Source organism: Homo sapiens, chromosome 3, assembly GCF_000001405.40.
Source record: "Homo sapiens chromosome 3, GRCh38.p14 Primary Assembly".
Lineage (NCBI taxonomy): Eukaryota > Metazoa > Chordata > Mammalia > Primates > Hominidae > Homo > Homo sapiens.
The window spans coordinates 171,769,534-171,783,725 of NC_000003.12; the positions used below are offsets into that span (position 1 = coordinate 171,769,534).

The window sequence follows — 14,192 nt, forward strand, 5'->3', positions numbered from 1 at the left end:
TGGGAAAGCTAAAATGATGTAATAAACTTACTGTTAAAGAAAATATCTACAGAGGCAGGGGCAATAACACAGCTGTACAATTGTGCCTTAGGGGGTATAAAATACAGTCCACTTTGTAATCCCGAAATGGCATGCAGCCATAACATTGTAACTTCAACTTAGCACTGATGGGGAAAGGGATCCTTAAAGTTTAGCATATCACCTCAGAGATCTTTTTTAAGTACCTATTTCTGTCTCCCTTCCCCCTCAATTTTTTTTAAGCAGAGAAGAACATGAAAGAACAGACCCTTTCTAATACACTGTATTTCGCAGTGGGGAAAAAAGGAGAATAAAATGGCAATAACAGAAGCATATTAGCATATTTAAAACACTAGTACATTACCCTGAACTAAAGCATCCTTAAAGTAACATGAAAGCAAGAGAAACTATATTTCATAAAGTGTTGCAAACTTTAAAACACCAAATTGAACTACTCCTATAGAACAATTTCATGCCAGATTGCTTTGGTGGCAAATTAATAAAGGCAGAATTGCTCTTTAGATCTTTAAATTAACGAGATTAAGGAAGACAATGTCTTTCTCTGTGCTTAATTATATTGACTTAATTTCTTAATTACTATTAACTATACTTTTATGTTTTACAAGTCACACTCCATTTTTACAGCTGTTCTTTAATCCTCGGGTAATCTCGTATTCTGAAGAATCACTTGAGAATAAAAACAGCAAAACTGAAGACAAAATTCAATTGGGCTTAATCCACCTGTACATTCTGCCTGAATCAATTCTTATGCCAGTATTTTGAGGCATTCCAGAAAAGTGCCAGACTTTTCAAAGAGAAAAATTAAAATGATATTCTGGTTCACTGAAACTCCAAGGAGTAGGCCTGAAGAAAAACCGTGCATCAGACAAGCACGCACCAGTGGGGTGAGGGAGGACAACCCCAACTGGGGCCCAACACTCCACTACTTAACGTTTCAAAAAATAAAATCAACTGTGTATAAAATCATATTTATACCTAGAAGGTCTAGTGCGACGACACAAAGAAAGCAATTATAAGAAAGGAACTAGGCTAGGCAAGGTGGCTCACGCCTGTAATCCCAGCACTTTGGGAGGACAAGGCAGGCAAATCGCTTGAGCCCTGGGGTTGGAGACCAGCCTGGGCAACATGGCAAAACCTGGTCTCTATAAAAAAGTATAAAAAAAAAAATTAGCTGGGTGCGGTGGCATGCACCTGTAATCCCAGCTATTCAGGAGGTTGAGGTGGGAGGATCGCTTGAGCCCAAGAGGTTGAGACTACAGTGAGCCATGATCATTCAACTGCACTCCAGCCTTGGTGACAGAGCAAAACCCTATCTCAAAAAAAAAAAAAAAAAAAAAAAGGGGGCGGGGGCAGGGCTGATATTTACTAACAAGACCTCTGGACTGCAAATCCAACACAGATACTAATATGTCATTTCCACTTGGCTTCCAGTTGTATTTAATATGGTCAAAAAATGCATATATTATAAGGAGAAACATAACCCCCTAAACCTCTGCAGGATAAACGAACTCACATTATTTTCTAAAAGAACGCAGCAACCCAGTCTGTCCTATCATCACACCGTGAGCTCAGAAAGAAAATCTGACACACGCAGCAGAAAGTGCAAAATGTTATTTACTAACCTGGTGCCCCTGTGAAAGCAGTTGCTCCATATCACCTTAAAGAAAGAATCCTTACTATGAAACCAATCTCCAAGGCAGCTGATAGCCAAGAGGTGGCAAAATCGACTACCCTGAGAATCCAAATAAACGGGCAAAGCCTTCCTGTTCCCAAGCCCAGTTTTGGCTGACTCCCTCAAGGCAACTTAAGTCATAGCCAAGCCCACAAAGCACTTTAGCCTATAAGCTTTAGTAATGAACTTGAAACCACTCCCCATATGTTAAAGAGACACCGGACTGCTGTGAGAAATAAAACCCACATACAGAATGAGCTACAGCTTCAGGCTGCACTTTTGTACTTGCTGCCCAAGAAAACCATAACACAAACTTAAACAAAGAGAACTCTCACTCCCTTCTCTCCCCTCAGACACTGCAATAAAGTGAATGATTAATTTTAAGCAAGGGGATACAGTCTGCCCTCCATTAGGGCCATGAAATGACTTTTATATTGTTCAAGTTGTGTGGCAGTTATGGAACAGATAGCACTGTAATTTCACATTGCATAAGAGGGACATATGAAGTTATCATTTCTGAGAATCAAATGTAGATAGTATTACTATTTTCAGATAACATTGAATAAGCTTAAAAACCTCATCAAATCCAACGATTAACATAAGTTCAATAGGAAATTTTGTCAAAGAACCTTCTAACTTCTGATTCTGACTTAGTGTCTATAAATCTTAAAAACATTCTTATAATTCAGTTTCACCACCTACATTTAGAATGGATGTATAAGCTAAGACACGTCTTTTAACATGGATCTTTAAGCTGCCTTTTAAAATGGAACTTAATACCACTCACTAAGATTTCAAAATAAGAAATTTATGTTTCATTCTAGAAAAATGTAGTCAATCAATTCCTTAAAGCAGTTAGATCTTAAAACAGAGTCAGTAATGTTCTAGCATATTGTTAGAACATCAGCTTTTTAACACAATGTGTTCACAGTATACTTATTTTCCCCTAGTTTTCAACTCCAAGAACAGTTTTAATTCTAATGGCTTGTTGCCATGATTTGTATTTTGTTTAAATGAGACTTATTTCAACACAATAACCAAGGTTTTTGAACTTTAATTATTGTTTCTCCTAAACCATAAGATTGGACCAAATATGCAGGCAAAGCTTGATTCACCTGTTGCCAAACTGATTTACATGAATTACTGGTAAAATTCAAGTTACTCAAAACCTGTGAAATATAAGCCATTAGCTCAACAAATTCACCCATGAAAATCCTGGAGACTATTTTAGATCTAATACACACCTTGCCCACCCCTCTACCCACTCCCAGGTCAGGGCTCAAGAGGATCTCATGGGGTCACCATAGAATGAGGGGGCAAGATAATTTCTTTTCTCAGGGAAAAAAGAAAACGAGCCTCAAGACCTGTGGCTGATGACTTTAAAAGGAGCTAGTACCCCACCTGCTGGCAAAACCAAGCGAAAGCTGGATGAGCTGAACAAACCTCAGGGGAAATGTTATTACTTTGATGTTGGAAGAAAAACAGAGAAGGAGCAGCTATGCGAGCACATTAATGTCACATTCAGTATGTCGTTAAATATTATTAAATTTTTCCCCACAATAGTGATATATTTCTAGAGGATATAAAAATGCTCATGCAAAAAAAGTAGATTCAAAACCATCTATTTTACATGGATCTGGTTTGCAAACATATATGATGATTTGCATGCCCAAGGAAATCCTCTGATAAATAATATTGATCTCTCCTCTGCAGAAAGAGCTTCAAAAAATACTCCTGGGAGACCAACACAATCTTTGAAATGGAAGAAATATGAATAAATCCCCAACTCAGCTAGATAAACTACTGGTGGGGCTGTGTCTCCATCAGTCTGTATGTCTGTATTCCCAGAATTTCTCTTATCTTTCAGCAAAAATTTATTTCCTTTTGCCACATATAAATTAATTCTTCTAAAATGAATATCTGATATTAACCTTAATGAAGATGAAGAAAAGTTAAGTGGTGGGCACCAAATTACACTACATTCTTTAATAAAACCCCGCAATAATAAGAGTATAGCAGGATATGACTTTTAAATGAGCCCAAGCTGTACTACTAAAACTAAAATGAGGCCAGGTGCAGTGGCTCATGCCTGTAAGCCCAGCACGTTGGGAGGCCGAGGCGGGTGGATCACGAGTCAGGAGCTCCAGATCAGCCTGACCAACATGGTGAAACCCCATCTAAACCCCGTCTCTACTAAAAATACAAAAATTAGCCGGGCGTGGAGTAGTGCACCTATAATCCCAGCTACTCAGGAGGCTGAGGCAGGAGAATCGCTTGAACCCGGGAGGCGGAGGTTGCAGTGAGCCGACTTCGTGCCATTGCACTCCAGCCTGGGCAACAGAGCGAGACTCCGTCTCAAAAAACAAAACAAAACAAACAAACTAACTAAAATGAATAAGGATAGCTATTATATAAGCTCTTCCGATGAGCCAAGCTTGGTTCTAAAGTGCTTTATAAGTACCAACTCATTTAAACATTACCACTCTATTATTATACCAGTTTGTTTGTTTGTTTGTTTGTTTGAGACGGAGTCTCGCTCTGTCACCCAGGCGGGACTGCAGTGGCGCTGTCTCGGCTCACTGCAACCTCCGCCTCCTGGGTTCACGCCATTCTTCTGCCTCAGCCTCCCGAGTAGCTGGGACTACAGGCGCCCGCCACCGCACCCAGCTAATTTTTTGTACTTTTAGTAGAGACGGGGTTTCACCGTGTTAGCCAGGATGGTCTCGATCTCCTGACCTCATGATCCGCCCGCCTCGGCCTCCCAAAGTGCTGGGATTACAGGCGTGAGCCACCGCGCCCGGCTATTATACCAGTTTTACAGATGATAAAACTGAGGCGTCCAAAGGCTAGTAAGTACACTGCCAAGATCACACAGTTAGAGACAGAGCTGGGATTAGAACCCAGGTCGGTGCTCCTAGCCATGTACTTTAAAAACTCTTTCTTCCTGAGTGCGTACCACTTAAACCCTGCCAGGCCCTGGTCAAATGCAAGGGCGGGGGAGACAGTGGATAAGGCCTGCACTGTGAACAGTCCTCATAAAGGCTTTCCAGAGAAGTGGCCACAGAACTGAGACCTGGAGGTGACATGGAAGGGAAAGGGTCCCCAGGGAGAGGGCACTCACTCAGTCTGCCAAGGCAAAGGGTAAACGGGGTGGGGGACATTGGAGGGACTGCCTGCAGGGACCTTAGTAAGGCTGAGGGACCAGCAGAAGAAAATGCTGTGAGGAAGGCAGAGTCCTCTTATGTCACATCATGGAGCAAAGAGGCATCACCAACGGATGCTAAACCGGAAAGTGTCCAGATATGCATGTTGAAAAGGTAAGTAGGAGGAATGAGGCCTTTTTGGGTGAGTAGGAATTTAGACATTCCAGGTAAAGGCAAGCACAGGCCAGTGCTGTAAGACATACAAGTTTATACTTTCATAAACTGTATCAAGGAGGCTTGTGCCGTAAACCCCGCAGCAGCATGCGCACTGGCTCCCTTGTCAAGCCAGCTCGGGGCTGGAGCCACGTGGTGGTTACTAATGCCATTCACAGAGTTAGGGACAAGGAGGAAGGGCAGGGTGGTGGGAGGAGGGTGGGGAGATGCTCAAGCCAAGGAGTTCACTGAGGGAGGCTGGGTTTGAGGTCCTCTGAGCTGTTCAGGGAGGATATCCAGCAGGCCCCAGGAGATGCAGGCCAGGTGCTACAGTCCTTTGCCTAGACAGCAGAGGTGCACATTTAGGAGTCACTGACACTGAAGGAGCAGCTGCAGCTGGGGGACAGTGGGACACAGAGTTTGTCCCTGGAAAATGTACAGCATGAGAAGAAAGAGTGAAATTTAAGGCAAGGCTAAGGGTGTCAGACAGAATTCAGGCTGTTGATAAAAAATTTTATTTTTATTTTTACTAACTTCTAACTAAAATTATCATTTCCTTCTGTAACTTGTCATCAAAGATATTTTCTTTGACGTCAAAGATATTTTCTTAGACATCAAGGATTTTTCATATCACATTAGTTATTGCAATATCTCAAAGTATCATTTCCACTCATCACTATTTCAAAATTACAGTAGTTATTAGACCTGCCACTAGATACTGGTAAGTAATGCATTTTAATAAAGGACATGTATTACAATATGACATATTTACTTCTTTGCATATTGATAACTTTATGTCAGTATAATTGGTTTCCTTTGTAATCCTATGCATTTTAATTTTATGTGTTTAATTTTACAGAATAAATATTCTGTAGAGTGGTTCATTAGCTTAATTAGAATGTCAAAGAGGTCCCCATGGCACAAGTAAAAGTAAAGAACATCTGATTTAAAGAGGGAAAGAGCCCAGCGCAGTGGCTCACGTCTGTGATCCCAGCACTTTGGGAGGCTGAGAGGGGCGGATCACCTGAGGTCAGGGGTTCAAGACCAGCCTGGCCGACATGGTGAAACCCCGTCTCTACTAAAAATACAAAAATTAGCCGGGCGTGGTGGCACACATCTGTAATCCCAGCTATTCAGGAGGCTGAGGCAGGACAATTGCTTGAACCCAGGAGGCAGAGGTTGCAGTGAGCAGAGACTATGCCACTGCACTCCAGCCTGGATGACAGAGGGACACTCTGTCTCAAAATAAGTAAACAAAAAAAATTAATTAATTAATTAAAATAAAAGGGGAAAGAAAAAGCCACAGGAAAACACTTAAAAATAGCTCTGCGAAAAGGGGGACCCTAGTATGAGATGGAGACAGCTTTCAAAGCTAGGATGCAAACGCAGGACTTCTGACTTTGTGTTCTTTCTACCACGTGACTCCACACCCTAAAATAATAAAAACAGTAACCCCTTCATTTGCGTAAACAAAGGGCTTTCACATGTATTAGCCTGTTAGTTCATCACATCTATTCAGAGTAGGAAAAGGCAGGAACCCAAACGTGCCTTGAAGCTGCCATCTAAGAAGACACTCCTTCCTGGGCCTCAGCACTGCGCCAGTGCTGCAGCGGACGGTGGTACCTGTCACCCCACTCTATGGAGCTGTAGTCATGGGCACAGAAGAGTAAGATGAAGAGCCCCTCCCTCATACCACACTAGCTAGAACCTGATCGCAAGAGGTGGGCACAGTGGGTGCCCACCCAAATGATGAGTTGCACTTCTCTCCAGGCTTCTATTTACAGGTAAGGCTAAGAATTTGTTTCCTTGCTCAAAGCTCTTTTATTTAGTTCTGATTGGTGATCCAGAGTGAATTACAAGATTTGCAATATTTCAGCTCTTTAATTTGCCATTGGCTCTAACCAAGACAGAAGACTTTACTTAAGCAATTGGTTTGAAATTAGATGGACAAGCTGAAACAATGGGCTCTCTGTTCTTTCCTCTCTGTGCCCACCAACTGGCATTCATTATTTAATCTGTGACGTGTGTTGCCAGGGCTGCGGTAATGACAACGGCACCTATTGTCTTCACATCCCTTCCCTATTCTGTAACATCTGTCATGGCTCCTGTCTATATTTCATTTTATTTTGTTTTATTTTGCTTCTTTTACTTTTACAAGGTTATTCTTAATTACTACAAATTGCTCTGAAATCTATTCTAACCCTGCAAAGTGTAGCATCATTTTGTAACTTGGCAATAACAATAAACTGAAGGCGCGTGTGATAGCACCCTTTTAAATTACTGTAATTTTACATAAAACTGTATAATTTCAAACAAATTTTATCTCAAGGTTAACTAGATAACCTCTCTTTTTAAATACCTGATCAGTTCACAGACGACTTTGGCCCCTTCTCATATAATACATGACTTCCTTTTACACAATAATGAGAATGTGGGTTTATATGACTAATCTGACACAATACAGTAACTTCTGCTTAAAAAAAAAAGCTGAACATTTCTTAATATGCAGTTACAATGTAAATTACTATGTTCATGGATGGATCTTTAATTTCCAAGTTTCTCTATTATTTTCTTTCTTTTTTAAATAAGGAGCCAGAGTGAAAATTGTCACTTGCCTTGTAATCAGTCACCTAAAAACTAGAGTGAAAATTGTTGTGTGTGAAAAGAGTTCAAAATTGGTTTCTATGTCCCAGGAACCGGAGAGCTGGTCTTCCTACTGCTGTCTGTCTCAGGACACAGCACACCCATCCGCTGTAGGAAAGGCAGAGGTTTCGCTTAGAGCTGCTTGCGTGTAAGGGAAGAGGGAACTCAACCTGGCAGGAACAAGCCCTTGATGATTTACCTTCTTTCCTAATTGCCCAGAGGCATTTCCTTCCTTGCTTACCCAATCTAAGGAAGGGTTTCCTACTGCCCTAGCAGTTCCTTTAACCTGAAGCCATTTTCTCTAGTTCCTACCCTGTTTTTTGTGTTGCTCTCAATCTGCTTTCTCACAAGACCTCACTTTCCAGCCAAATTGGTTTATTCTGTTTTTCAAATTACCTAGTTCTTCCTTCCTTTTGAGTTTGTGCCACTGTCCCAACTGTGGCAATGCCCTTCCCCCTCCTCGACAGTAAAGGAGTCAAATCCTCCCCAGCATTTCAAGGGGCGGCCCAAACCCATGTCCTCTACAAAGCATTTTCAGGTCACCCTGCTTTAAAAAAAAACAAAATTGCTCAACAACTACAGCAATCATCATCAGCAGCCGCAAATCCATTAGGCAACAAATTATGCCTTGCGACTTTCTATTTTATCTGGATGGGTTATTTAAATAGTGATGGCATTTAACTTTTCATGCATTTATAACTACTTCCTCCAACTTAGTAATCAGTAACTACATATTACAAGTTATACCTCTGAAATCAACCATTGTAAAAAGCATATAGCAAAAATTCTACCTTACATTGCATTCATATATGTATTTGTTGCTTACAAGATATTTAAATTATTTATGTTACTTAATGATAATTACAAAATAATAGCCAACACTATTGCCATAATATCTTACTAGACTCAATATCTTATTTGACATTCACATCTGCCATATGAATTAGATACAATTATTTTCCTCATTTTTCAGGTGATGAAAATGGGGCCAGAAAGCTTAAATTTCCCAAGGTCAGGCATTCAACACGTACTTAGTGAGCACCTACTATGCGACAGGCATTGTTTTCAGCATTAGTGATGAAAGCAGAAAACTTCTATCTTCAGGGAGTTTATATTCTATTAGGGAAGACAGACTATCAAAAATTAAAACAAATATATATAAAGCCAGATAATACTAAGTGTTGTTAAGAAAACTAAAGCAGAGTAAGGGACTGGAGAGAGATGGCATCTGGAGAGAGATGGCATAAGTGGCGAGGTAGCACACTCCTTAGATAAGATGGTCAGAAGAGGCCTCTCTGGGGAGATGACACTTGAGCAGAGACCTGAACGAAGTGAGGTGACAGGCTCTGTAATCATCTGGGAAAAGGGCCCAGGCAGAAGAAACGGAAACTGCAAAGGCCCAGAGGCCAATACAAACTTGGCGTGTTCAAGAACAACAAAAAGGCCAGTGTAGTCAGTGCTGTGAAAGAAAGGGCAACAGTAGAGGGTGTAGTGAGAGAAGAAACTAGGGAGTCCAGTTATGTATGGCTTTGTAAACCATTGCATAGTTTCATTTACGTTTTTCCTTAAATATAATGAAAAGGCCCTGAAAGGTTTTAATCAAGAAAGTGAAACACTGTGCCATTTGAAAAGATTACACAAGTTGGGTAGGTAAAGAAAAGACTAAAAGGGGCTGGGCATGGTGCTGTAATCCCAGCACTTTGGGAGGCCGAGGTGGGTGGATCACTTGAGGTCAGGAGTTCAAGACCAGCCTGGCCAACATGGTGAAACCCCCTTCTCTACTTAAAATACAAAACTTAGCTGGGTATGGTGGCGGGCGCCTGTAATCCCAGCTACTCAGGAGGCTGAGGCAGGAGAATCGCTTGAACCCAGGAGGCAGAAGTTGCAGTGAGCCGAGATCGTGCTGAGATCGTGCCACTGCACTCCAGCCTGGGGGACAGGGCAAGACTCTGTCTCAATGAAAAATAAAAATAAAAAAAGAATAGACTGAGAGAAGGCAGACTACTTAGGAGAATATTGCAGTAGTCCAGGTGGGAGATGAAGAGAAGTAGTCAGATCTAGGATCTACTGTGAAGATAGGGCCAAGAAGATTATCTGATGTGGGTCGTGATGCAGAGTGTAAAAAAAAGAGAGGTGTCAAGGAAGACTCTAAGACTCATATGAGTAACAGGGAGAAAAGTCTAATTATTCAGCTGAGGAACATTGTAGGTGATGGGGTCTGGGGAGAAGCAGTAAGTTTTTGGGGCAAATCAGCAGTGCCATTTTGGGTAGGTTAAGTTTGAGAGACCTTTTAGATATCCAAACGAAGAGAAGTAGGACGTTGGATACCTAAGTTTGAGGCTTGGATACATAAGTCCAAGATTCAGTCCTGGGGTTTGGATATGTAAGTCTGAGATTCAGGCCTGGGGTTTGGATATGTAAGTCTGAGATTCAGGCCTGGGGTTTGGATACATAAGTCTGAGATTAGGACTGGAGTTTGGATACATAAGTCTAACATTCAGGACTGGGGTTTGGATATGTAAGTCTGGAGATTCAGGACTGGAATTTGTATACATAAGTCTGAGATTCAGGACTGAGATTTGGATACATAAGTCTGAGATTAGGACTGGAGTTTGGATACATAAGTCTAACATTCAGGACTGGGGTTTGTATACGTAAGTCTGAGATTCAGGACTGGGGTTTGGAGACGTAAGTCTGAGATTCAGGACTGGGGTTAGGATATGTAAGTCTGAGATTCAGGCCTGGGGTTAGGATATGTAAGTCTGAGATTCAGGACGGGGGTTTATATACATAAGTCTGAGATTCAGGACTGGGGTTTATATACATAAGTCTGAGATTCAGGACTGGGGTTTATATACATAAGTCTGAGATTCAGGAATGGGGTTTGGATATGTAAGTCTGAGATTCAGGACTGGGGTTTAGATATTAATCTGAGGACTGGGGCTTGCATACATAAGTCTGAGATTCAGAACTGGGGTTTGGATATATAAGTCTGAGATTCAGGAATGGGGTTTGGATATGTAAGTCTGAGGACTGGGATTTGGATCCATAAGTCTAACATTCAGGACTGGGATTTGGATACTTAAGTCTGAGATTCAGGACTGGGGTTTGGATACATAAGTCTGAGATTCAGGACTTGGAATTCAGGTGGCTTTAAACGTGGTAGTTAGCTTTAAGCAACATATTTTCACCACAGACTGACTGAGGGTGAATAAAGGAGGGATGTCTGAGGACTGACACTCAGGACTCTCCAACATTTAAATACCAGGAAGAAGAGATGGGTCCAGTAAAGGGGGCCAAAAAAAAAAATGCCAGTGGGGTAGTAGGAAACCCAGGAGAGTGTGGTGAGAAAGACAGAAGCCAGGTGAAAAGAGTGCGTCAATGATAGAGAGATCAATTATGTCAAAGGAGCTGAGAGATGAAGAAAGAGGAAGATTGAGAACTGACCACTGGATACAGAAACATGGAGGTCACTGATGTCCTAAAGAGTGGGCTCAAGAGAAATTTATGCAAAAGCCTAAAAAGTGGGCTCAAATGAGAATGTGACTACAGGGCATTGCTGAGAGAAATTAAAGACCTAAATAAGTGGATATACCGTGTTCACGGATTAAAAGACCAAATATTGTTAAATTTTCTGTTCTCCACAAACTGATCTATAGATCCAACACAATACCAATTATAAACTCATCAAGCTTTTTTGTACAAATTAATAATCTCATTCTTAAATGTGTATAGAAATTCAAAGGATTTAGAATATCCAGAGCAACCATAAAAAAAATAAAACTAAAGTTGGAGGACTTAACACTACCTGACTTCAAGACATCGTAGTAAGTCTATAGTAACCAGGACAGTGTGGTACTAGTACAGGATCAACAAATAGATCAATACAACAGGATAGAGAGCTCAGAAATAGATGCACACTTACATGGTCACTCGATTTTCATGAAGGTAAGAGAAAAATCCAATAGAGAAAAAAAATGACTTATTAACAAATGATGGTAAAAAAAAAAAACTAAATATCTATATAGCAAAAATAAATAAATCTCAACCATGACCTCACACCACACTCAAAAATTGAGATGGATCATAGACATAAATGTAAAAACTAAAATTATAAAGCTTTTAGATATGGCTTAGAAAGCAATCAACATAAAAAGAAAAAAAAACAGACTTAGCCAAAGTTCAAAATTTCTGTTCATCTAAAGTCATCATTGAAAAAATAAATAAGAAAGCCACAGCCTGGGATAAAATATGTGCAAATCATATATCTGACAAAGAACTAATATTTTATAATACATAATGAATGCCTACAATTCGATAAAAGTGAGCAAAAGATTTGACTGGACATCCACAAAGGAAGACAGACTCGTGATCACTAAGCATATGAAAAAGTGCTCCATGTTAATATTCACCAGGGAAATTTAAGAAAAACGCAATGAGGTACTGCTACATCCCCACCAGAACGAGTAAACATTAAAAAGACCGTCAAACCCAAATGCTGGCAAGGATACAGAGACAGCACAACTCTCATTCACCATGGGTCACAGTGTAAAACTACAACCAGCTTAGAAAAAAGTCTAGCCGTTGTTTATAAAACTAAATATGCACCTATCCTATGACCCAGTTATTTCATTCCAAAGTATTTATCCAAGAGAAAAGAAAACACAGCCACAAAAAAAGACTCCATTCACCATAGTCAAAATCTGGAAGCAACTCAGGCATCCACCCGTAGAAAAATGAATAAACAACCTGTTGTATCATCAAACAATGGAATGATACTCAGCAGCTCAGAAAGGAATGGATTCACTCAGAAAGGAATGAATGACTGATACACATGATATGAATACATCTCAGAAACATTACGCTGAGTGAAAGAAGCCTTACATAAAAGAGTACATACATTGTATGATTCAATTTTGTTAATCTTCTAGAAAGGCAAAAATAACATATTGTGGGAAAAAAATCAAAACAGTGGTTGCCTCTGGCAGAGCATAAGAGGGTGGTCTGGGGACTAACTGGGAAGCAACATGAGGGAACTTTCTGTGGCGATGGTCATGTTCTGTACCTTGAAAAGGGTTTGGATTGCAGAGGTGGTACATGCATTTTTCAGAACTCTGAATGGTACACTAAAGATTTGAGCATTTCAGTGTATATAAATTTTACTTCAAAAGAGAACTATAAACAAATAGGGAAGGAAATTAATCATATGTACCCTGAAATGTTTAGGAGTGAGTGTACTGATGCCTGCAACTTACTTTAAAATGTATCCAAAACATAAATTGAATTGATGAAAGGATAAAGGGATAGATGGGTGACAAGACGTATGTTCAAGCAATAAAGCAAACTATTGATTGTAGAATCTAGGTGGTGGCTTATGGGTGTTCACCTTAACATTCTTTCAACTTTCCTGCATGTTTGAAATGTTTACAAGATGTTGTTAGAAGAGAATGTGGGGTAAGGAATTGGAGACAGTGAGAACTGACAACTTATCAGAGTTTTGCTTTAAAGAGGAACAAAGATATGAGGCAAATCTGGAGGGAGATGAAGAATTAAGAGGAGGTATTTGTAAAGAAGGAAGACATTATGGAATGTTTGAATAAGAATGATCCTGTAAAAAGAGGAACTTTAATGAAGCTAGTGGGCAGAAACTATGGAAGCAGAGTTCTGAACAGGCAAGAGCAACAGATGGGGTCCACTGGGGTGCAATGGATGTCAACCAGGAGGATGCACGTTTGTCCATGGTAAAGAGCAGGGGATGGGGGACAGATGATGGATGGATGCAAGAGAATATGGGAGCTGGGAAACTGCTTCTAGTTTCCCAGTGATATAAGCAGTAAGATCCATGGCTGAAAGAGAGAGTCTGGGAAGGGATGTTAGGGGTTTGAGGAAAGAAACAAAGGTGTGAAATAGTCACCTGGGAGAGTGAGTTTACTAGGGAAGTAGGGTTGCCAGAGAGGGCTGAGTATCAGTGGAGGCAGGGGTGGAGGGTGGCGTGATTAATTTAATGTCATCAGAGTGTTGTGTGTGTGTTTTCCAGGAATGCTCCGTGGTTTGGAAGAAAGTGTAGAGTTATGCCTGAGTAACTGTGATTTTAACCAGGGTTGTGTTTTGCAGGAGACTAGGATAGAAAGAGGAGAGAGGCAAGTAGAGTAACCACAACAGTGGACCAAGCAGATAAGGTGAGTAAAGTGGAAAGTTAGACTACACAGGGCATTAATGGAAAGTAAAAAGGTGGCAGAGTCAAAGGAGTGGACGTAAAAGTGTTGATCTGAGGATATTACAAGACAGAGCATAAAAGTTGGCAGATGGTAGAGCTGGGATTTAAATCTAAATGTTTGACTCCTGTTTTTTTTATTTTATTTTATTGATTGAGATAGGGTTTGTTTGTTTGTTTGCCTGTTTATTTGTTTGTTTATTGAGACAGGGTCTTGCTCTGTCACCAAGGCTGGAGTACAGTAGTACAATCACGGTTCACTACAACC

At 40.6% G+C, this 14,192-nt stretch overlaps 1 protein-coding gene across 9 annotated transcripts in view; it reads right to left on the reverse strand.

Annotated features, from left to right (window-relative positions):
• The window catches only part of PLD1 (phospholipase D1), a 210,080-nt gene that overhangs the window by 169,130 nt on the left and 26,758 nt on the right, over positions 1-14,192 (reverse strand). For 6 of the 9 annotated variants that reach the window (XR_007095693.1, XM_005247534.3, XM_005247533.3 and 3 more), the window contains exon 1: positions 1,662-1,793. The exons of the other annotated variants lie outside the window; for them this stretch is intronic. The gene's annotated coding sequence lies outside the window, so the exon portion shown is untranslated. Of the gene's footprint in view, positions 1-1,661; positions 1,794-14,192 lie in introns of those variants that run through there. 9 annotated transcript variants of the gene reach the window in all.